Genomic DNA, 24,804 nt, shown 5'->3' on the forward strand with positions numbered 1-24,804 from the left:
AGAAATATGATTGAGCGAAAATGCTAATAGACTCTTTGGGGAAACCCAGCAAGATTCTTCTTGGCCTCCCTGAGCATGCATTTTTTCCTTCTGGGTGTGAGGTAGAACCCTCTCTGGAATGGGGTTCTTGTAACTATAGTAAAACAAGGCAGATCAGATAATTTTTCTATGGTCAGTTTGTACACATGAAGGTGGAAGGAAAGTTAGAATAATATTTTTAGCTTTTATCGCTGGCTTTGTGGAAAAGGGATCTGTGTTCTATGACCCACCTTGGGAAGAGGATTCTAGTTTCTATGGCTAGGCTTGGGGGAGCATGGGACTGAGAGGAGGACAGGGGAAGGTCAGAGAAAATTTTGCTTCTGAGGCCTTCATTTTGGGGCATTGTCTTCTGAGTCACAACAACATACTTGGTGGTTTCTAGGCTCTGAAATCTGGGTTTCCCCACTTAAAATTTCCATGTAGTCTTGTGGTCTTAACAGGCTGATGCATATGGTGAGTATTCAACAGTTGTAGATGTAATTTCCTGACACTTCAGGTCATTGATTCCTACTGTTTTTCTTTTTCTTTTATTTTTGTATGTTTTATTTTTATTATACTTTAAGTTCTGGGATACATGTGCAGGACATGCAAATTTGTTACGTAGGTACCCATGTGCCATGGCGGTTGCTCACACATCAACCCATCATATGCATTCAGTATTTCTCTTAATGCTATCCCTCCCCTTGCCCCTCAACCCCCTACAGGCCCTGGTGTGTGATGTTCCCCTCCCTGTGCCCATATGTTCGCATTGTTCAAATCCCACTTACGAGTGAGAAAATGCGGTGTTTGGTTTTCTGTTCCTGTGTTAGTTTGCTGAGAATGATGGTTTCCAGCTTCATCCATGTGCCTGCAAAGGACATGAACTCATCCTTTTTTATGGTTGCATAGTATTCCACGGTGTATATGTGCCACATTTTCTTTATCCAGTCTATCATTGATGGGCATTTGGGTTGGTTCTTAGTCTTTGCTATTGTGAACAGCTCTGCGATAAACACACATGTGCATGTGTCTTTATAGTTATAATCCTTTGGGTATATACCCAGTAATGGGATGGCTGGGTCAAGTGGTATTTCTAGTTCTAGATCCTTGAGGAATTGCCACACTGTCTTCCATAATGGTTGAACTAATTTACACTCTCACCAACAGTGTAAAAGTGTTCCTATTTCTCCACATCCTCTCCAGCATCTGCTGTTTCCTGACTTTTTAATGATCGCCATTCTAACTGGCATGAGATGGTATCTCATTGTGGTTTTGATTTGCATTTCTCTGATGATCAGTGATGATGAGCTTTTTTTCATATGTTTATTGGCCACATAAATGTCTTCTTTGGAGAAGTGTCTGTTCATATCTTCTGCCCACTTTTTGATGGGGTTGTTTTTTTCTTGTAAATTTGTTTAAGTTCCTTGTAGATTCTGGATATTAGCCCTTTGTAAGATGGATAGATTGCAAAGGTTTTCTCCTATTCTGTAAGTTGCCTGTTCACTCTGATGATAGTTTCTTTTGCTGTGCAGAAGCTCTTTAGTTTAATTAGATCTCATTTGTCTATTTTGGCTTTTGTTGCCATTGCTTTTGGTGTTTTAGTTATGAACTCTTTGCCCATGCCTATGTTCTGAATGGTATTGCCTATGTTTTCTTCTAGGGTTTTTATGGTTTTAGGTCTTACATTTAAATCTTTAATCTATCTTGAGTTAATTTTTGTATAAGTTGTAAGGAAGGGGTTCAGTTTGTTTTCTGCATATGGCTAGCCAGATTTCCCAACACCATTTATTAAATAGGGAATCCTTTCTCATTGCTTGTTTTTGTCAGGTTTGTCAAAGATCAGATGGTTGTAGATGTGTGGTGTTATTTCTGAGGGCTCTGTTCTGTTGCATTGGTCTATATATCTGTTTTGGAACCAGTACCAAGCTGTTTTGGTTACTGTAGGCTTGTAGTATAGTTTGAAGTCAGGTAGCATGATGTGTCCAGCTTGGTTCTTTTTCCTTAGGATTGTCTTGGCTACATGGGCTCTTTTTTGGTTTCATATGAAATTTAAAGTAGTTTTTTCTAATTCTGCGAAGAAAGTCAATGGTAGCTTGATGGGAATAGCATTGAATCTATAAATTACCTTGGGCAGTATGGCCATTTTCATGATACTGATTCTTCCTATCCATAAACATGGTATGTTTTTCCATTTGTTTATGTCATCTCTTATTTCCTTGAGCAGTGGTTTGTAATTCTCCTTGAAGAGGTCCTGCACATCACTTGTAAGTTGTATTCCTAGGTATTTTATTCTCTTTGTAGCAATTATGAATGGGAGTTCCCTCATGATTTGGCTCTCTATTTGTCTGTTATTGGTGTATAGGAATACATGTGATTTTTGCACATTGATTTTGTATCCTGAGACTTGCTGAAGTTGCTTATCAGCTTAAGCAGATTTTGGGTTGAGACGATAGGGTTTTCTTTTTTCTTTCTTTCTTTTTTTTTTTTTTGAGATGGAGTCTCTCTCTGTTGCCCAGGCTGGAGTGCAGTGGCGCAATCTTGGCTCACTGCAAGCTCCACCTCCCGGGTTCACGCCATTCTCCTGTCTCAGCCTCTGGAGTAGCTGGGACTGCAGGCACCCGCCACCACGCCCGACTAATTTTTTTTTATTTTTAGTAGAGATGGGGTTTCACCGTGTTAGGCAGGATGGTCTCGATCTCCTGACCTCGTGATCCGCCCACGTTGACCTCCCAAAGTGCTGGGATTTCAGGTGTGAGCCACCACGCCCAGCCATGATGGGGTTTTCTAAATACGCAATCATGTCATCTGCAAACAGAGACAATTTGATTTCCTCTCTTAACTATGTGAATACCCTTTATTTCTTTCTCTTGCCTGATTGCCCTGACCAGAACTTCCACTACTATGTTGAACAGGAGTGGTGAGAGAGGGCACCTTGTCTTGTGCCATTTGTCAAAGGGAATGCTTCCAGTTTTTGCCCATTCAGTATGATATTGGCTGTGGGTTTTTCATAAACAGCTCTTATTATTTTGAGATATGTTCCATCAATGCATAGTTTATTGAGAATTTTTAGCATGAGAAAGGCTGTTGAATTTTGTCGAAGGCTTTTTCTGCATCTATTGAGATAATCATGTGGCCTTTGTCATTGATTCTGTTTATCTGATGGATTACGTTTATTGATTTGCATGTGTTGAACCAGCCTTGCATCTCAGGGATGAAGCCGACTTGGTCGTTGTGGATAAGACTTTTGATGTGCTCCTGGATTCGGTTTGCCAGTATTTTATTGAGGATTTTCGCATTGATGTTCATCCAGGATATTGGCCTGAAATTTTCCTTTTTTGTTGTGTCTCTGCCAGATTTTGGTATCAGGATGATGCTGTCCTCATAAAATGTCCCAGAGATTCTGGTACATTGTGTCTTTGTTCTCACTTGTTTCAAAGAACATCTTTATTTCTGCCTGCTTTTCGTTATTTACCCAGTAGTCATTCAGGAGGAGGTTGTTCAGTTTCCATGTAGTTGTGTGGTTTTGAGTGAGTTTCTTAATCTTGAGTTCTAATTTGATTGTAGTGTGGTCTGAGAGACTGTTTGTTATGATTTCTGTTCCTTTACATTTGCTGAGGACTACTTTACTTCCAATTATGTGGTCAATTTCAGAATAAGTATGATGTGCTGAGAAGAATGTATATTCTGTTGATTTGGGGTGGAGAGTTCTGTAGATGTCTATTATGTCTGCTTGGTCCAGAGCTGAGTTCAAGTCCTGGATATCCTTGTTAATTTTCTGTCTCATTGATCTGTCTAATATTGACAGTGGGGTGTTAAAGTCTCCCACTACTATTGTTTGTGGGAGTCTAAGTCTCTTTGTAGGTCTCTAAAAACTTGCTTTATGAATGTGGGTGCTCCTGTACTGGGTGCAGATGTATTTAGGATAGTTAGCTTTTCTTGTTGCATTGATCCCTTTACCATTATGTAATGCCCTTCTTTGTCTCTTTTGATCTTTGTTGGTTTAAAGTCTGTTTTATCAGAGACTAGGATTGCAATCCCTGCTTTCTTGTGCTTTCTATTTGTTTGGTAAATATTCCTCCATCCCTTTATTTGGAGCCCATGCATGTCTTTGCACATGAGATGGGTCTCCTGAATGCAGTGCACTGTTGGGTCTTGACTCTTCATCCAGTTTGCCAGTCTGTGTCTTTCCATTCTCCCCGTCACTTTCAGGTACACCTATCAAATGTAGATTTGGTCTCTTCACATAGTCCCATATTTCTTGGAGGCTTTGTTCATTCCTTTTCATTTTTCTCCTCTAATCTTGTCTTCATGCTTTATTTCATTAAATTTATCTTCAATCTCTGATATCCTTTCTTCCGCTTGATAAATTCAGCTATTGATACTTGTGTATGCTTCATGAAGTTCTCGTGCTGTGTTTTTCAGCTCCATCAGGTCATTTATGTTCTTCTCTAAACTGGTTATTCTAGTTAGCAGTTCCTGTAACCTTTTATCAAGGTTCTTAGCTTCTTTGTGTTGGGTTAGAATTTACTCCTTTAGCTTGGAGGAGTTTGTTATTACCCATCTTCTGAAGTCTACTTCTGTCAATTTGTCAAACTCATTGTCCAGTTTTGTTCCCTTGCTGGCAAGGAGTTGTGATCCTTTGGAGGAGAAGAGGCATTCTGGTTTTTGGAATTTTCAGCCTTTTTTCACTGTTTTTTCCTCATCTTCATGGATTTGTCTACCTTTGGTCTTTGATGTTGGTGACTTTTGGATGTGGTTTTTGCATGGTCATCCTTTTTGTTGATGTTGATGCTATTGCTTTCTGTTTGTTAGTTCTCCTTCTAATAGTCAAGCCCCTCTTCTGCAGGTCTTCTGGAGTTTGCTGGAGGTCCACTCCAGACCCTGTTTGCCTGGGTATCACCAGTGGAGGCTGCAGAACAGCAAAGATTGCTGCCTGCTCCTTCCTCTGGAAGCTTCGTCCCAGAAGGGCACCCACCAGATGCCAGCTGGAACTCTCCTGTATGAGGTGTCTGTCAACCCCTGCTGGGAGGTGTCTCCCCATCAGGAGGCACAGGGGTCAGGAACCCACTTGAGCAGGCAGTCTGTCCCTTAGCAGAGCTTGAGCACTGTGCTGGGAGATCCACTGCTCTCTTCAGAGCCAGCAGGCAGAAACGTTTAAGTCTGTTGAAGCTGTGCTCACAGCTGCCCCCTCCCCAAGACGCTCTGTCCCAGGGAGATGGGAGTTTTATCTATAAGCCCCTGACTGGGGCTGCTGCCTTTTTTTCAGAGATGCCCTGCCCAGAGAGGAGGAGATTCCTATTGTTTTTCTACTGCTGCTTCTAGGATTTGACAGGTTGTATTTCTGTAAAGAGTAATAAACACACAGAAAGAAGACAGGAATATTTTACCTAGTGCTTCACTGAAATCAGATTCAGTATATTTATCAATAATTATTCACTGAGGCTATCCTGTCCTTGATTTGGAGCTAGTGAACATGTTGTATATGTGACATAGAATAATATTTTAACTAAAAAATAAAAATCATAGCCCATCAACTGGATTTTTTGTCACAGAAACCTGATATATCTAGGGAATTATCAATATGTGGATACTTTGGTGTCAAGCATTAAACATAACCTATGTTGTTAACCACGTGAAAACATTAAACTAGTACACATTTTATTTGGCATGTTATCATCCAGTGACAAAAAATATTAAAGAATCTTAGTGGAAGGAGTTATATATAACAAACAGGAATAGTAATTTAAGACAAACAATAAAGATAGATATACGTTAGAAAATCTCTCTTAGTCCACTTGAGCTACTATATAAGAAAATACCTTAGGCTATGTAATTTATAAGGAACAGAAAATTATTGCTCACAGTCCTAGAGGCAGGGAAGTCCAAGATTAAGGTTCCAGCAGATTTCGTGTTTGATGAGCGTTTGCTGTCTGCCTCATAAGATGGCGCCTTCTAACTGTGACTTCACACGGTGGAAGGGGCAAGGGAGATAACTTGAGCCTCTTTTATTGGAGTACCAAAAATTTATGAGAGTGGGGCCCTCATAACTTAATCACATCCCAAATGCCCCACCTCTTAATACTATTGCATTGGGTTTTAGGTTGCATCCTATGAATTTGTGGAAACACCAACATTCAGACCATAGAACTATCTAAAATAACACAATTGTGGTAATTACCTTTTTGGCCAAAATATACTTTTAAAGTAATGAGAAACCAGTTCGTACTTAGGTCAAATTATATTTCCAAAAGTTAATAGCTTAGATGATTTTTATTGTGTCATATAAAAAAGTTAAAAAAATTATATTTAGTTACTTAAGGCTGATGCTTTAAAAAACAAAACTATGTGAAAAGAATCCACTCTTGAGAATGCATTCTTGTGTTGCTAATGAAAACTTTGCTGTCATAAATAAAAGGAAACAAATATATGTATAAAAGAGAGCTTTTCTTCACAAGTTTTATTTGACCTTTAATAGAGTCAGGAGATGCTATTAACATCTAAGTAGTTTTAGAATTTCAAGAATGAAGGGATACTCTCTGACTGAAGCATTTTTGTATTTTTAATTCCAAGGCCTGTGTTATGGTGTTCACATACTGATTAAAGAATTAGTTTTTCCATTTTTCTGCCAATCTCGTAAGCAACAACTTGAATAATCAAACAGATGGTAAATATAAATATCTAATATGCAGAATTTTATGTAATCATTTGTGTTAATATTTATCTAGCACTTTAAGTTTCCAACTCCCTTTCATGTTAGTCATTTCCCCAGCATCCTGGTGCCCATGAGTTTAGGAGCTTTGTTTCTTGCTGGGGAGGCAGGCACCAGCATTGAGAAAATGGACTGGGGTGTTGGGCATCTGAACTTTCTTCTTTTCTCTTTGGTCTGGAAATATGATAAAAGACATATCTAATATCTTTTGCTTATTTGAAAGAATTATCTAATCCCTATGCTAGATTTATGTTATGTTGATTGGGGGAAGGGGGAGGAAATGCATGATATTTAGACTAATGGCATGTCAGTTAAGGGCTGGGCTATCTGAAGGAGAAGTGTGAAAGTTTAACATAGCCTTAGCACTTATGATGTGTTAGGCTATAAAACCCAAAGTTAATAACACTGCCTTCTGCTGTTGGTTCTATTCAGCTGTCATCTTACCCTTCTGTGACTGGAAAGGGGTCTGGATGCAGACCCTAAGGGAGGGTTCTTGGATCTTGCATAATAAATAATTCAGGGTGAGTCCATAGAGTAAAGTGAAAGCAAGTTTATTAGAAAAGTAAAGGAATGAAAGAATGGCTACTCCATAGACAGAGACTCTGGTTGCCCATTTTTATGTTTATTTCTTGATTATATGATAAACAAGGGGTGGATTATTCATTCCTCCCCTTTTTAGATCATATAGGGTGACTTCCTGACATTGCCATGACATTTGTAAACTGTCATGGTGCTGGTGGGAGTGTATTAGTGAGGATGTCCAGAGCTAACTCTCATTGCCACCTTGGTTCTGGTGGGTTTTAGCCAGCTTCTTTACTACAACCTGTTTTATCAGCAAGGTCTTTATGGCCTGTATCTTGTGCCATCATCCTGCAACTTAGAATGTCTTAACCATCTGGGAATGTAGACCAGTAGGTTTTTAGCCTTATTTTACCCAGCACCTATTGAAGATGGAGTTGCTCTGGTTCAAACACCTGTGACACTTCCAGTCTTGCCTACTTCAAACTGTTCCCCATGCTGCTAACACATAGCTACTGAGCAGATCTCTCTTAATACAAATATATTATTTACTCCCCTATTAGAAATTTTGTTATAGGCTCTCTGTAGCCTACAAGAAAAAGATAAAACATCCAAACCACCCCTGATCCATCTAGGCCCCCAACCTCACTCAGCTCACCAGCTACCTCATAGTTCACGCTGTATTAATGAGACAGATACCTCTAGGACTACTTCATACCTCCACACTCTTGCTCCCTGTTCCTACTTCCCAGAATACCCTCTTCCCAGAAAACCTTTCCCATACCCCAGTTGATTCTAAGTACCCTTGTGACGAAAACCAGAATATTTTACCCCAAAATATACTTCTTTGGCCTGTTTTAATATGGCTATTCAGAGGGGCTGCAAAACATAAACATAGCCCTGAAAAGCTGCCTGGTTTGTGGGACATTTGCATCTGTAGAGGAAATCTATGTTAGTGAAATGAAGTAAACAACAGATGAAAACAGGCTTTCTCTGAGGTCCCCCTTGGATCTAGGAAAGGTTAACTCACAGAAAAAAGAGACTCAAAGTCTCATACTTCTAAAGGTCTGACAGAGAAGCCTTACAAAAGCTACCATCTATTCTTTTTGAGGGCAGCTCTGAGATTACCTGAAATATTTTCGTGTGTGTAACAAGACAGCCTTTGCTTGACATACTTTCTTCTCTTTACTCTCTCATAACCTGTGATACCACATTTCCCTGTCCCCAGGACCTCCAAGCTGCATTCTTTCTGTAACCTGAGGGTGTAATGAAAACTTCAGTTATTTGACCCCTCCCTTGAGCCTCATACCTTGTAGTATGGCTCCCATGTCCATAAGCCCGTTAATAAATTTGTAAACCTTTCCTTTCCACTAATCTGTCTTTTGTTACAGAGGTATCCCAGCTAAGAACTTATGAGAATTGAGAAAAGAAATTGCATATTTTTTTTCTCCCCTTCCATTGCCCTAGGCTTCCATAGACTTCTTACTCATTGGCAACAACAGCATGTTTGATAGTCCAGGCCTCAGACTGGGTTTGATTCTATAGTCTGTCCTTTACTTTCTGGATAACCTTAACTTCTTCAACCTCCCATTCCTTATCAGTAAAATAAGGTATTTATAATAATAGTACTTGTCTCATAGAGGATTCAGTGAGTTAATACTTGTAAATTGCTTTGACATTGTGCCTTGCACATTGTAAACGTAATAAATGTTTCAATTACAATGATGCCATTTTCTATTATCAGTAATTATGATTGCTACAGCGTCTTTTGCATTATGATTTCAACATTATCTTTTCCATGAGTTTGTTTTCCTACTAGATTATCTCCTCCTATAAGGCAGTATTCATTCCATACTTACGTCTGAATCCTCAGAGCTATGCATTGAGCCTCATTCATGATAGGAAGTCAATAGATGTTACATGCTTACGAGATTGCCAGCTTATTGTCTAAATTAATATTAAAACATCACACTCTGGACTTTGTAGAATGGCTAAGAAAAGTGTTTTTTCATAGGCTAGAGGTTCAGATTATACGTTTGTTACAAAACTGGCAAGTTTGTTTGCCCGCTCTGCAGAAACATATCAATATACTGAGACAGTGGAGATTGCAGCAAAGAAAGAGTTTAATAATAGCAAGACCAAAAAGCAAGGAGATGGGAGGAATCCTCAAGCCTCAAATCTGTCTCCTCAAGGGATGCTGCTCAAGGATCTTTAAGAGGATTGTGGAAGGTGAGGGGCTGGAAAGTTGAGGTTGTTGATTGGTCGAGGAAAGGGGGATAAAATCATCAGAATGTGGATATTGCATTCTTCGTGAGTCAGTTCCTTGCTGGGCCCTTCAGACAAGCAACTTTTATTAATATGCAAAATCTAAAGGGAAAATTTAAAGTTTATTATTTTATTTGTTTTAGATTTTACCTGTAAAACAAACAAACAAACAAACAAAAAAACACAATATCCTGTGACAAGGGGTACATAATAAACAGCAACTACCTATAAGAAAGTGCGCCAAAGAGCAAGCTGGCTTAATAATTACTGCTGATTTTACTGTAAGCCCAGCTAGATTTTTTGTTTTTCTTAATTGATTTTATATAGTTTTCTTGGGGGTGTTCTGTGTTCATGTACATTTCTAGTACTTTCAGTGTAGTCTCTGTTGAGTGCTCCTGGGATTTGTTTCTGACAGCCATTTTCTGTTTTCTCCATAGGTACTAGGCTCTTGGAGCCTTACATTCTTCACATTTAGAAGGTACTTAAATATTTAATTCCTGTTTTTGAATTTATAATTAAATAGTAAAACTATTTTATTGTATGTAGATATTGATGATGTTATTTATGTATTTGGTTTATGTTTTTGTTTGTTTATTTATTTATTTATTTATTTACTTTGAGGCAGAGTCTCACTCTGGTAACCCAGGCTGAGTGCAGAGGTACAATCATGGATCACTGCAGCCTTAACCTTCTAGGTTAAATCAATCCTCCCACCTCAGCATCCCAAGTAGCTGGGACTACAGGTGTGCGCCACGACATCTGGGTAAGTTTTAATTTCTTGTAAAGACAGAGTCTTGCCATGTTGCCCAGACTGGTCTCAAACTCCTGGACTCAAGTGATCTCCCTGCCTTGGCCTTCTAAAATGTTGGGATTATAGGTGTAAGCCAGAACACCCAGCCTATGCCTTTGTTGAAACTCTGAAAGCAGAATGGCAGAAAGTAGCTTTAAGTGAATCAAAAGAAATGATTTTTTCTTATTTTTTTTTTTAAGATCTCAAAGTTTGTAATTTTTTTCTTAACCAAATGCAATATTGTTAAATAGATGGTGTTTCTGAATATAACTTTTAGTAAGTTATCTTTAATATTTCTGTTTCCTTAGCAAGATGAGAGGTCTTCAATGACAAATAATTTTCTTTTAATCTTGGTAGGACTTGTCAGTTCTGCTGGCATAAACATAGGGTTTTAAATTGAAAACCAGGATTGTTTACTAGATATAGATAGAGATTTACTATAAAATTCTATTATCCAAGACTTCTAAAAGATTGACATATCTTTGGTTATTATTAATACTCCCATGTCTGCTCTTATAGTTTTCTTTTTTTATTGCTTAATGCTTCACTTTTCTTACTTTTCTCTGGAAAAGCATTCAGTATGTAGTATTAGAATGCATAACCTTGTGAGCATATTTATAGCATCTCATTTTTTAATACTGTGATGAATGATTAATCATAAAGGGTTCATCTTTTTTATCCTATGCAATATCTAATGTATCCATGATTTAATACTTTGAAGGTTTTTGGAGGGATGTTTATTTGAAAGTGGAAATGTTTATTTTTTTAAATCCTTATTCTAAGATTTAAAAAATCCTTTTGCTCATGCATACGAGCCCTCTCTTCTGTTTAAGACTCAAGAGGACTTCGAAAAGAAACGTAAGTGTTGAGGAGTTTTCCTCTACTCATCTTGGGTTCATTGACTAGGATTCTGAAAAGTAGACAGACAAAAGTCAAATTAACAAGAGAAAAACAACAACAAAAAAAGCTAATAAGAAGCTTATTAGCGGGCATTATGCAACTGGGGGTACTCAGTGGATGAGTAACCCAAAGAAGGGGTTAGGACTTGGGGAATATGAAGCATCTTAACAAAAGAAAAATACATTTGTAGAGGAATTACAAAGGAAAGAAAAATGCTTCTGGTTTTTAGGGACAGCAGCTGTGAAAAGGCAAGTATATGGTAGAAACCAATGAAAGAAGGTTATTTTAGCAAGGTTTGCTGCATAGATTCCACTGATGCTTTCTCTAGTCTAACGAGTTTAGAACTGTCTCCAGTGATTAAGAATACTCTTGCTTTTTCTGATAGAGAGGGGAGGAAAAGCAGATTTTCTTTGTTTCTACTCCTCAATTGCTCTCAACTCAAAGTAATGCTGAGAGAATGTGTCCATACTGAATAGTTTCAATAAATGGCATGTATTTGTAAATACTCACACAGAAACACACACACACACACACGTTTCTTTCTGTTTGCATGTGCATACAGGTGTAAAACACACAAATCAACCCTAATACTTTGAAGTCAAGAGGAGGATCCACAAAGAATTCAAATAACTTATTGAAATTGCAGGAGAAGGTGAGAAATTTCTTCCCTCTCTACATTGTCTCCACATAATTATAGTTAATGCTGTGGCACTAAAACTCAGCAAGGGGTTAGAGCAAGAACTTTGGAATTAGGCTGCTGAGAGTTCCAGTCCTCTTTCTTGCCATTTCCTGAGTGTCATCTTGGGCAAATTATTTCAATTTTTGTATCAGTGTACTAACCATATTGATGCAGGATATTTTTGGTGCCGCTTCACCAGCTGGAGACCTCTGTGGCCTGTGATATCCCTGCCCAAGCCCTGCTCAGCCCTTGACTTGCTGCTGGAGGTATCCCGCCCACTTGGCTATGCAGGCTGTGTGTAGCTTGTGCCCTGGCCTGGATCTCATGCTCAGCCTGCAGCTGGGCTCAGTGTTTCCCAGCCCTCCTCTGTTACAGCTCATTCAGTCCCACTGCCCCACTGTGGCCTGTGGCTCCAGGGCTGGTCCAGTGCCATCACTGCTTCCTGTTACATGGGTCAGCTACCCCATGCCAGCAGAGGGCAGAGGGTCACAGTGTTACAGACTTTTTTGTACTCATGTTTGGTGGGTTCCAAGTTCTTGTCCTGCCTCCAAGAGGAATGAGGTTACACTGACAACCGAAGGGTGAGAAGGGTGGAGAAAAGTTTTACTGAGCAATGGAACAGCTCTCAGTGTAGAGGGGACTCGAAGCAGTAGTCCTCCACTTGAAGGTGGGTAGTCCTCCCTACCCAAAGTCAGGCAGTCCCTCTCTCATTGTGGCTGGGTCTGGGGCTTTTGTGAGTTCAGAATGGGTGAATGCATGGTGATTGGTTTGTGAGTATACCAAAAAAAACCTAAAAGGCACCACTCAAATGTGGGCATGATAATGTTAAAAAACCAATTAGGGAAGGGGAGGTGTATACAAAATAGGTGAAGTGTAGGGATCATTCAGAGGAAAGCATGCCAAATGGGAAGAGAGGTTCTCAATCCAGTCCATACAAGTCTTTATCTGAGACTTGTAGCTTGGCTACAGGCTTTAAACTGTCCTTGGTTTGAAGGTGTGGTTTCACTGGGGACCTGCCCCATCTGCCTAGGGATTTTTCTGTCTCCTGCTACTATCAATATTAGATAGTTGTAAGTAATGTTTCAGAAGTTGTTGGTATATGGAGTCCCTGAAATTAGAAGCAAGATTTAAGAGTTCTGGGGAAGATCTTATTTTAATCAACTCTATCTCACTTAAATGGATTAATTTTAAAAAGGCAGGAGAAAGGTTTATTGAATGCTCTAGAGAGAGTGACTTGCACTAATCCTTTGCTTCATTCAATACAATTCTCATCCTTTATTAAAAGCAGAATAGCCTCATGGTCTGCTTGTCCTCCAGATAGGAGTGGCTTGTATATGATTGATGTTTCTTGGGATCATGAATATAGGGCTTGCTCCCGCTCTAGGGCTAAACATTAGAAGACCAAATGGCTTGGCTTGTGTGGTCTTAGGTTTCTTCCAAATAGGAAGAGTGTGCTAACAGCTCTAGTCTCAATTCACGACCAGGCTCCTACATTTAGGCTCCTTGCTCCCTTGGTGTTATGAATCTGAAAGATAATGCATCTCCCTCAAAGTTATGTGAGAAGTGAAACCTTTTACTGAATAATTTTTTTTCTTAAAGAAGAAGAGATCTGTTATTGACTTGGCTGTTTTATCTTACTTATGCAGTCTAGACTTAGTAATATTCTTAACTGACACTTTTTTTTTGGTGGAGCAGTATGGATTTATCTTTAGTTTCCTCTAGTAGTATCAAAAGCTAACATCTAAATGTAAAGATATTAAATATGACTCAATTTCTTTTTTTTCCAAGGAAAGATGTCACAGTATTATTTTGGAAATTCTCTATATCGTTTGTGAGAAAGCCTATAGAAATGTTTACCACATAACAATTCAATCAATACTATTTCTGTGTTCCTCATGACAAGTGTTCTTAATTCATAGTGAATTTCTCTCAGTTTCAAGGTCTAAGGTAAAGACCATGTCCTTGGAGAAAAAAACATGCTATAGTCAAACTATCACTATTAAAACAATTTGTTAGACCAGCTGAAAATTTTTATTAATTCACCTTTATAAGTATATATTAAGTCATTGTATTTTTGTCTTAATAATACTTGAAGTAAAGATAGTTGATTTCCTACATAACCTATTTAAGAAACAGATGGGTTCTATTATTAGTGGATTGTAATAATAAGAAAAAAACCCACTCATCACTTTGAAAACTAAAAATCAATCCTGAATATTGAACTAAAAATTAATAAAATGTGATATTCATTAGAAAATATTTTTTTACTTTGAAACTACAAATAGTCTATGTAAATTTCTTCTTACACATATGGAATATTGAAAAAACAAGCAAAACTTATGACTATATTCAGGAGCTTTCACTTGTGATTAATAACAAAACAGTATTTTAATAAATAAAATATTTATGTATTAAGGTAAAATAGACTTGAATATATAGATAATCCAGCTTCACTGGCACTAGTGTTATATTTTAAAGTAATATTAAAGATAAAACATTTATGTTTAAGCCAAATGCCAGAAAGCATCATATAAATTATTTTTTATTATAAACATTTTGACATCACAAGCTTAGAGTAGAAATTCTTTTTCTATTCATCATTTCCATTCCTTTCCTAGGATGAACACTTTATATTTTTCATTACATTTGTGTAAGAAATTCTCAGACTATTCATTCATAGCAGGTATAACCTAACAAGAAAAACGTCATGAATCAAATGCATGATGACCTCAGGCTGCAGCTTGTCTTGTGTTACTGTCTTCTGAGGGAGAACAAATCCAAGCATCTTAACTAGATTTATAGACTTCTGTTGACTCACCACGGGGATGTTTTAGAAGGTCTCAGAGTATGGTGGTTTTGTGATAACCAGCTAAAGAAGTTATGGCCTGTCACAATTTGTGCTTTAAGTAAACTCCAATTTGTTGTGTGTATATCAAGAGCAATACTTTAATACTTGATAGCAGTATGAAACATTGTAGGTACACTCACCACTTCTCTAATCTCTAGATTGGAGCATCATCTCTTTTCTAGTTTCTAGAACCATTGAATGAACACATCAAGAATCTCTGGTGTTTAAAACTCAGATGTTGTGGTGCATGCAAAGAATTGGACACTTGAACCGCTTATGGTCTACTTGAGGAAATGTGCTAGGTTATTTTGGTAGCTAGAAACAGACCCAGGTTATCTTGAATTGTAAAACTGTGGTTATATTGCATATGAGAATGAGGACAAGAATGTTGTACAGAAATAAACCAGAGATCATAGACCCTAGAAAGTAGTTGAGGCTCCAAGAAAATCTAAGAAGCTTTAGCGTTCATCAGTAGGAGAGCTTCCATTTCCTGCACTGAGGAATATACTCTTCCTCATTTCTGCTTCTACTACAATCATTTGCTTCACTCTCTATTATAAAAACATCTTTTATCTATTTCAGTTTTGGCTTAATTTTAACATACACATAATCATATTTTTACTTGTGGCCCACTATGATACTGATATTTCATGACCTCTCTTTCTGTGCATATTTTCAGCTCCTCTTATCAGCTCTTTAAGTTCTTCTATAGCTCATGCTTAGATTACCAAGAGAGGGAGAATCTGAATTACCATATAATCCAAGAATTTGACTTCTGGGTATATATGCAAAAAAACTGAAATAGAAATGTTGAAGACATCTCCATGTTCATTTCTGCATTATTCACAATAGCCAAGATATGGAAGAAATGTTAGTATCCATCAATGGATGACTGAATAAAGATGTTGTCTTACATACACACAGTGGGATACTATGCAACCTTAAAAAAGAAGGAAAGACTGTCATTTGCAGGAACATAGATGGAGCTGTAGGACACTCTCCTTAGTAATATTCTTAGTAAAATAAACTATGCATAGAAGAAATACTGTATTTTGTCACTTACACGTGTGATACAGTCTTTCTGCTCCTTAGCTCAGCTAGGTCCAAGTTCTTTTCTCATGAACAGGAAGAATTAGGCACACGGACACTGGAGAGTGAGTGGAGTAGAATTTATTAAGTTAAAGGAAAACTCTCAGCAGAGCGGGGATACAGGGGGTGGTTCCCCTACCCGAAGGCAGGAAGGCTTTTCCTGTGTGGCTGGGGCCTCTTATGGACTTAGAATGGGGAGTGTGTGCTGACTGGATTGTGAGTATGGAAAAAAGATTGAAGCGAAGACACTACTCAAAGGTGGGCATGGCAGTGTAGAAAACCAATTAGGAAAGGGTAGGTGTACGTAAAATAGGTGAAGGATGGGGAACAATCAGAGGAAAGCATGCCAAACGGGAAGAAAACTTCTCAATCTGGTCTGAGGATTTAACTTGTAGCTGGGCTTTCAGGCTTTAAACTGTCTTCAGCTTGGAGGTAGGGTTTCACTACAGACCCACCCCTATCTGCATAGGCGTTTGGCTGCTTCCTGTCTCTCTCATGTGGGATCCAAAAAGTCACTCATAGAATCAGATAATAAAGTGGAGGAATGAATCAGGGAGGGGTGAGGATGGCGGGATGTAGATCAAAGAGTACAAACTTTCAGTTAGACTGGAGGAATACATTTTACTAATCGATTGCACTGCATGTTAACCGAAAGTTAATAAAAATGTATTGTATATTTCAAAATTGCTAAAAGAATAGATTTTTAACATTTTCACCATAAAAAAATTTGGTTAGGTGATGGATATGTCAGTATGACAGAATGTTTCTACAATGTACACATAGATCAAAACATCACATTGTACTCCATAAGCATAAACTAATTTTATAAAAAGACAAACAAGAAATCAAGGATTATAACTTACAGCTCTGAAAAAAAGCAGCCAAAAATTGAAGAAACTACTGAAAAAATGCTAAGCACAGTGGATAAAAAAATGCAAATCTGAAGCTATTTTTCTTAAATTTCAGAGTTCTAAGGATGAATAGAAGACTATTGATTTTCTAGAAGGCCAAATTAGGCCACTACCAAAGAAATACATACTGGAATGGGATCAGATTTGTCATTAGCAACACTAGATGCTGAAGACAACTGAGAAAGTCTTTCAGAGTTTAGAGGGAAAATAATTTTTAACTTAGAATTTTAAGCCTAGCAAAACTGCAATCAAATGTGAACAAAGAACACAATTATACTCAGACATCTAAGTATTTGGAATACTTACACACCATACAGTCCTCCCCTTCTTTCTTTAAGTTACTGAGTATGAACTCTGGCAAACACAATTATAAATCAAAAAGTACCACAATCAGTTTTCCACTTGGGGATATAGAGAGATGAAAAAAGTGTTCCTACTATCTTTTTAATCATCACCACCATCATCTTCCAATGGACAAACAGTAAGTTTATGACTTAGGAGTGCTGAGATTACAGAGAAACCAACTGCCTGACAATTTAAAGAGATACTCCTGACTTCAGGGATGGAAAATTCATGAGCATTGGTTTACTGGGAAAGATATAGCCAGATATAGGAAAGAAGAGTTTAACTAGAAAGAGTGGTACAATGCTGGGGGCTAATCAAGGCTGTACTAATGAGAGAGGACATTTCATCCTATTGCATGTTTTTTTTTCACTCCATGAATCCTGCTGGGACTCAAAGCAAAGATTTGGACAACTTCAAAAAGTCTCCCTTATGGTAAAAATCTGGGTGGGGAAGAGTAGATACTGTGTAGAAGGGGCACTAAACTCTATCAGAGCACTTTTCTTCGAACTCTGTAGGACAGGAGGCTTAATCTATGGGGACAGGGAAAATAAAACACTTTTGCTATTAAGACACTTGTGAAAACAGAATGCAGTTGAGGAAGAGAACTAGAAAAACCTGTCTCTGGTGAAGGGGCAGGGAAATACTTAAATTACCAACAGGGCAAACATATTGAGGTAAGGGACATTGCATCTGGATAAAACAAGTTTAATTTTAACAAAAAAGACTACCTTGAACTCCTTACCACCAGGCTAAGAAGTGTTAAGTAGCAATTAGTTTGCATGATACACTCTGAGGTGAGCAGAGTGATGACTAATAGCTGAGGGTGAGCCAGACATTGAAAAACAAAACCAAACAAATTAGACGCTGTTTTTTTAAAGATATTTCTAGAAAAATTTAAAGACTGTGTGCAATGACGGTAACCATTGGAGAAACAAACCTCAAACAGTCCATCTCCTAATTATATTACCTGAAGCTCCGGCATTAAAGGCATAGCAGAGGAAAAAATATGCCCAGTTTCAGGGATAAAAAGTTGGTTACCTCAGTCTCTATTGTCCTGCATAAGATACCTGACAAATTTGCAAAGCATATGAAAAAACAAGAAAAAAATTGCATCAGAAGAAGGAAAACCACTGTAAAAATTGAACTCAGATGTGATACAGATATTTGGATTATTTTAAAGAAAATTTAAAATAACTATAATTAATATGTTAAACACTGTAATGATGGTGTTATATCAATTATCAGGTGATTAATTTCAGTAGAGAAATGAAAACTAGAAGAAATAATAGAAATGCTAGAAATGAAAAACAGTAAGGAGATGAAGAATGTCTTTTAAAGGTTCATTAGGAAAATCAAGACAGACAAGGAAAGAATCAGTGAACTTGAAATTAGGCCTATAAAAAGTTATTCAAACACAAACATAAAATGTGGAAAGAAGCAAAAAAACTAAACCCAAAACTCCAAACAGCATTCCTGTAAGTTCGGACAGTATCAAATGACCTACTATATACATGATTAGAATTTGAGAAGGAAAATAGAGAAAGAGAACAAGAAAAAATGATATTTGAAGAACTACTGGCTGGGTTTTAAAAAAAGCCTATTAATGATAGGCATCAAATGATACATCAAAAAGATTAGATTGTAGACAGAGAAATCTTCAACAAAATATTATCAGATAGAATCCAGCAATATAAAAAAGAGATACAACCAAGGGCAGTTCATCCAATAGATGCAAGACTGGTTCTGTATTTTAAAATCAAAGCATATACATGATGAGGCACACACATATAGATATATATGTGACAAAACCCAAACTGAGGAACTTTTTACAAAATACCTGACAGTTAAGCTTTAAGTAAGTCAAAGTTATAAAATACAAGGAAGCCTTAGGAGCTATAATAGGTTAAAAGAGAACTATGGAAGCTGAAAGCAATGCTGGATTCTGGATACTGGAACAGAAAAAGAATGTTAGTGGGAAAACTGGTGAAATCTAAATAAAATCCACAATTTAGTAAATACTGTTCATAATGGTTAATTTAAAAAAATAACTGTATGGGTACAGGAATCTTTGCTTCTGATATTTTAATGCATCCATCACCTGAGTAGTTTTATGCAGTTGTGATGGTTAAACTGGGCTAAGGAATGTTCAGATAGCTGGTAAAAACATTTCTGGGTTGAGTCAGTGTACCAAGTAAAGATCCACCATCATCGATGTGGGCAGTCATCTCTCAAACCATTGAAGGTCCAAATAAAACACAAAGGCAGAGAGGAAGGGTGAATCCTCTCTCTTTTTGAGCTGGGATATCCATGTTCTCCTGCCCATGGACAGCTGAACTGGTCCTTACGCCTTTGAACCCTGGGACCTGCATCAGCAGATTTATCAGACCTACTGCCTCGGACTGAGAGTTACACCATTGCCTCCCCTGGTTCTCAGGATTTTGGATTTAGACTGAATTATGCCACTGGCATTTCTGGTTCTCCAGCTTGCAGGTGGCATTTTGTAAGACTTGTTAGCATCCATAATAACGTGAGCCAATTCCCATAAGTCCCCTCTTACATAACTCTACATATCCTATTGGTTCTGCTTCTCTGGAGAACCCTGAGTAATACAGTATTGTACCAATGTCAATTTTAAAATTTTTATCCTTGCATGGGATTATGTAAAATGCTAACATTAGAGGATTATAGGTGAAGGATATATGGGAACTCTGCACTATATTTGCAACTCTTTTCTAAGTCTAAAATATTTAAATATAAAAATCTAATTGCATGTAAAATTGCATGTCAATTATACCTTAAAAGAGCTGTCAAAATTTTTAAAACTTGAAAAGGACTATAAGCTTTCTGGGAAATAACTAGATGAGTTAATACAAGTACCAGGAAACTCAGACCCAATTAGGAGATCAGAAGATCTGGGTAGAGAGTTCTCCAGGGATAAAAGGAGATTTAATAGAATATAGAATGATTGAGAGCTTAGAAAAAAATTCAGAGATGATAAAGACATAAGACAAGGATAGTCCATTTAAACTTCATGCTAAAACTTTCTCTTTTGTGGAGCACAAGTGTCATAGTCTTGGACCTATATAGTAGGAAATATAATTTTAGCACTTTTCTTTGATAGGGAGAAAATTTATGTACTTATCAGTCTCCACCTGACTGACCCTTGCTGGCAACATCAGCTTATCAAATGAGAAGTCAAGGGGTTGTGGTTTTCAGAATAAGAAATGTAGGTTTACATATCTTGTTTGAATTTGCATACTCAATTAATCAGAGCAGTGACAAAACAATATTAGCAGAAGAAGTAGATGAAAGAGTATGGGGAAGATCATCCTTATTTATCATATTAGAAACTCAATAGCAGAAACTCAATAGCCTATATATGAAAGCCAACTACACAATAAAATTTAGATACAAAACTGTTTAGGAAAGAGAAGTTAACCACCTAAAGAACTAGAAAAGATAAAGAAAAGTTTGAAAAAATGATGAAGAATGTGAATTGGATAATTAAGGAAAGGGGAAGTTTGAGACAGTAACTTGTAGTTCTTTCTATGATCTTTTCATGACCTTTAACCAAATAATATTTCCATGTTATTATGTTTTTTGAAATGTTCTGTCAATATAATTATAACCTATTAGAGCCATTAAAACAGGTGTGTGTGTGTGTATTCTCTTTTCTTTCATATATATGTGTAGGTATACATACACATATATGTATAAATGTACATATATATACACACACATATATATGAAATGGAATAATATACATTCCATATTATAAATTATCAAATATAAAGCTAATTCACCAGTAATTATTTCTAGCAATAGATTCAGGGATTCAAGTGATAGCTGTATTCAAGTTAATTATTTAAGAAATGACTTTTTTCCCCTAGACTCAAAGCAACACATTGGTAGCATATTTTCTTATATTGAAAATCACCCATCTTCTATGTCTAGTGCTTAATTGAACACAACTAAGCAAGTTCATTTAATTGAAAGTCCCTTGAAAATCACTTGTTTTATTGAACCCTCATAAGTTTATAATTGAAAAATAATGCAGATGAGTGATTCTTTTAGAAGTAGATTCTAGTGAACAAATGTTGGGATCATTTGACATCGAGGCTGAGAGTGTGATTATTTTGGTATACTATGCACTCATATCAACAAAAAAGTTAATTTACATTATAGTATTGAATAATTGATTAAGAAAGAAGTTTACATAATTTTTATCCTAAATAGTTTCAGGTCAAATACTGTTCACATTTTCTTGATCACTCAGCAAATGATATTTTTAGGAAAGAAGTCAATGATGTTCAGAACTGAATTTGGATGCTACTTGACAGGATTTCACTATGGACAGAAGATCTTGACAAATATTTTAGTTAACAGTAAGAAAGAAGAATTTGGAACTAAAAACACCCCTCATCTAAGTTCTTAAATTAATATGGCTACCAATGATGGAACATTAATGGATCTGCATAATTTACTGGTTGTGAGCCAATCTCTGAAGCCCAGCTGCTGCTGTCTCTGATGTTTATTCAGAGAGACCAGAGAGACTCCTGCCCAGCTGTCTACAGGTTGGAAACTTTTTTGGCTCTCCCTCAGACTGTCCACTAGATTTCTGGTGGGATCACTGTATTTCCTTGCCCTGAAGATCACTGCTTGGGTGATGAACTTCAGCAACATCTCTCAATAAAGGTCTAGTAAATCTCCCTCTGGCTTCACTCATCATGGCTTTGGGTCAGAGACCTTTCCCTTCCACCAGATTTCCAACTGGAAAGAGGAATGGCAACCATGAGGATGGGCTGGGAGCATTTGTAGATGTATTTGACTCCTTTCCACCATCCACACGCTCTGGCCTCACTTTTTCCATTTCTTTTCTTTCCAAGAGGAGTGATAGCTGGAGCCAGACATGTTCAAATCCCAACTCCATTGCTTACTAGGTATGTGTCTATAGAGAAGTGTTTGTCCTTTGCAGTGGTTACTTTCTTTATCTGTAGAGTGTGAATAATAATTGTATTTCTTCATAAGGTTCTTGTCATGAGTAAATGAGATTTTACATGTAATGTGCTTGGTTAGTATGGTGTTTGGTGTATAGCTGGCATTTTGTGAATGCTAGTTACTATGATTTTACTTTTTCGTTTTTCCTTCCACTGCCCAAAATACTTAGTGGGATGTAATGTGAGAGAAATAGACATGCAGATCTAAGAGGAAATATTGACAATATAAGCCTGAACAATGTGTCCAAAATGAAGCTCTGGGATTAAATAGGTTGCCGGCCTATTCTAAAATTAAAATAACAAAATGCTATACTTCTGTGGCTTACCTCTATACTAAAATATATGTTTCTAGATGCGTACTTACAAAATATTCATTATGATGTGGATTATAATTTTTATAGTTATCTGGCAAAATCTGTGAAGAGAAGGTGATCATATTACCTTGTACTTGAAAATAAAAGCAGAGGATTCTCAATTCTGTTTTGCTTCCTGAGACAGCCAAAATTCTCTTTTATATTTCTTGAGGAAGTCTTTCTCAATAAAGTTCAATCACTTATCTGTCATTGATCCAGAATAAACTGCTAACTAGCATTCATATAGTTAAATTGTTTTCTGAAATCTGTGACGATTTTGTTGAGGCACTATTTGGTAGTGTTATTTTTTTCCCTCCAAGTCGTTTTTGTCAAAATGTGCTTCAATATTCTCTTTGATTGCAACTAAAATGCTCTCTCAGTTTTCCTAAGATGCTGTCAATGTAATTTTGTAGTAAATAACATTATAATGTCAATGTATGACCAAGAAGGTGATACAATGTCAAGGATACACTCGGCATGGCTATATCATCAATTCAATGGAAAATGCATATTTATTCAGACCTTAAGATGTCAGAATTGAATCTTGCCCAAGTGTTACATTACAGAGAAAAACAAAAAGAAATCAAGCCAGAGAAAACTTGATTAAAATTCTACTGAATAAAGGAAATTTCAGGTTATAGCACTCAAGGTGCCTTCAGATTATAAAATGCTATCATATCTCCCATGACAACTGTGGAGGACTCCTCCAACCCAAATTACAATGCTTGATGTTCTGGGACCTGAGGAATTTTATGGAAGTAATTAAAGGATTCTCCCGCCATGATTTACTGATAGTACTAGAGAACTTCTAATTTCATGAAGGAGGCGAGGTAGTTACAGATGCTCTAATTCCAGGTTCTACCCACTGTGATGACCTTCTTCTTCCAGCCTGCTCTTCTATTTTGGTACTGGAAGGATGGAATTGAGATCTTGGACCTAACATAGGCCTCTCTATGTGGAGAAAAGGAGTGCCTGTGTGCTCTTCTGGTATATATTTAGTTGATTTCTGGATTTCTTTTGTTATAAATTCATTCCTTTGGGTTAAGCTTTTAAAATGTCATTTCTACTGGGAAGAGTAAAACATCAAACTTTGATGAAGTTGATTGAAGTGCTCTTCAAACTATGGTCAATGGATGCCATACATCTGAATTCCCTGAGTTGTTGGTAGAAAAACAAGATTCTTTTCTGACTCTTTCTCAGATGCCCAGAGTCAGAATATCTGGAGATTAATAGCTATTTCCTGCCTATAAGAGTGTCCTGAGAAGGCCCAGCCACCAAAAGGCATACCTTTTCTCTGGGCTAAGAAATACCTAGCTATTAATCATCCTGGCTCCAAGTCTGGTACTCATTGTTTTTTCTCTGCTTGGTGTATACAGTACTGTCTCTCTATCTTGAGCAGTGTCTGCTACTCAGTATTTTTCAAAGATCCTTTGAAAGGGCATTAAGTAGATAAAGATCTTTGTTGCTTCTTTGCACCAGCTCATTTAATTTCTTGCCCAGGCAGACAGAGAAGAAGCATCCTTACAGCTTCCATATATTTTGTATTTCATTCTTATGAAAAAGGAAGGTAACTATATAATTTATTGTTTCAATTGGGTTACTCTCAAGAAAGAAAGGGAGTGCTACTAATTGTTATGCTGGGAAATTGGAGAAAATTAAGACTCTCTCAGACAAGCCTAGATATATGGTCATCTTAATTCTACTTACTTAAAACAGTAATAACAATCAAACTTTACCAATGTATTGTAAGTTACCAATCACAGCCTTTTATCAGTTTTTTTGATGGAATATTAATGTAATGCCTTTTTAGGAGGGCAATTATAATTTTTCTGGTGTTATCCATTTCCTTCATCTTCCCCCTACTCACAGCTCACTTCCTTAAGCCTATGGGGTTTTCTACGTGAGGTCCTTGGGCAGAAGCATCAACAGTATCTGGGAACTTGTTGGAAATGAACATTCTTGGCTCCATCCCTGATGTGCTAATTCAGAAATTTGGGAATATAACCCAGTAATTAGTGCCTCCAAGTGATTTTGATGCACACTAAAGTTTGTGAACTACTATCTAGGACTTCCAGAATTCTTTTCGTTCTGTCCAATTCTCCCCTCACCTTTAATTCTCTCTCTTTTTCCCTTTTGTATAATTGAACTTGTGATATTATTAGTTCTGTTTTTCTTTTATTTTCTTTTTAATTTTTGTGAATATAGAGTAGGTGTATGCATTTGTGGGGTACATGAGATGTTTTGATACAGGCATGCAATGTGAAATAATCACATTATGGAAAATGGGGGATCCATCCCCATAAGCATTTATCCCTCATGTTACAATCTAATTACACTCCTTTAGTTATTTTAAAATGCACAATTAAGTTATAATTGACTAT

General features: G+C 37.1%; 2 long non-coding RNA genes across 2 annotated transcripts in view; both read left to right on the forward strand.

Moving 5' to 3' along the window:
• The window catches only part of LOC102724495 (uncharacterized), a 63,056-nt gene extending 52,888 nt beyond the window's left edge, over positions 1-10,168 (forward strand). Inside the window, exons 2-3 of the long non-coding RNA XR_428238.2 lie at positions 9,949-9,989; positions 10,137-10,168. This is a non-coding gene — a long non-coding RNA (uncharacterized LOC102724495). The remainder of the gene's footprint in view (positions 1-9,948; positions 9,990-10,136) is intronic.
• Positions 10,169-10,336: 168 nt separating this feature from the next.
• Positions 10,337-24,804, forward strand: part of LOC124901815 (uncharacterized) — a 60,048-nt gene continuing 45,580 nt past the window's right edge. The window contains exon 1 of the long non-coding RNA XR_007060646.1: positions 10,337-11,853. This is a non-coding gene — a long non-coding RNA (uncharacterized LOC124901815). The remainder of the gene's footprint in view (positions 11,854-24,804) is intronic.

This window comes from Homo sapiens, chromosome 7, assembly GCF_000001405.40.
Source record: "Homo sapiens chromosome 7, GRCh38.p14 Primary Assembly".
Taxonomy (NCBI): domain Eukaryota; kingdom Metazoa; phylum Chordata; class Mammalia; order Primates; family Hominidae; genus Homo; species Homo sapiens.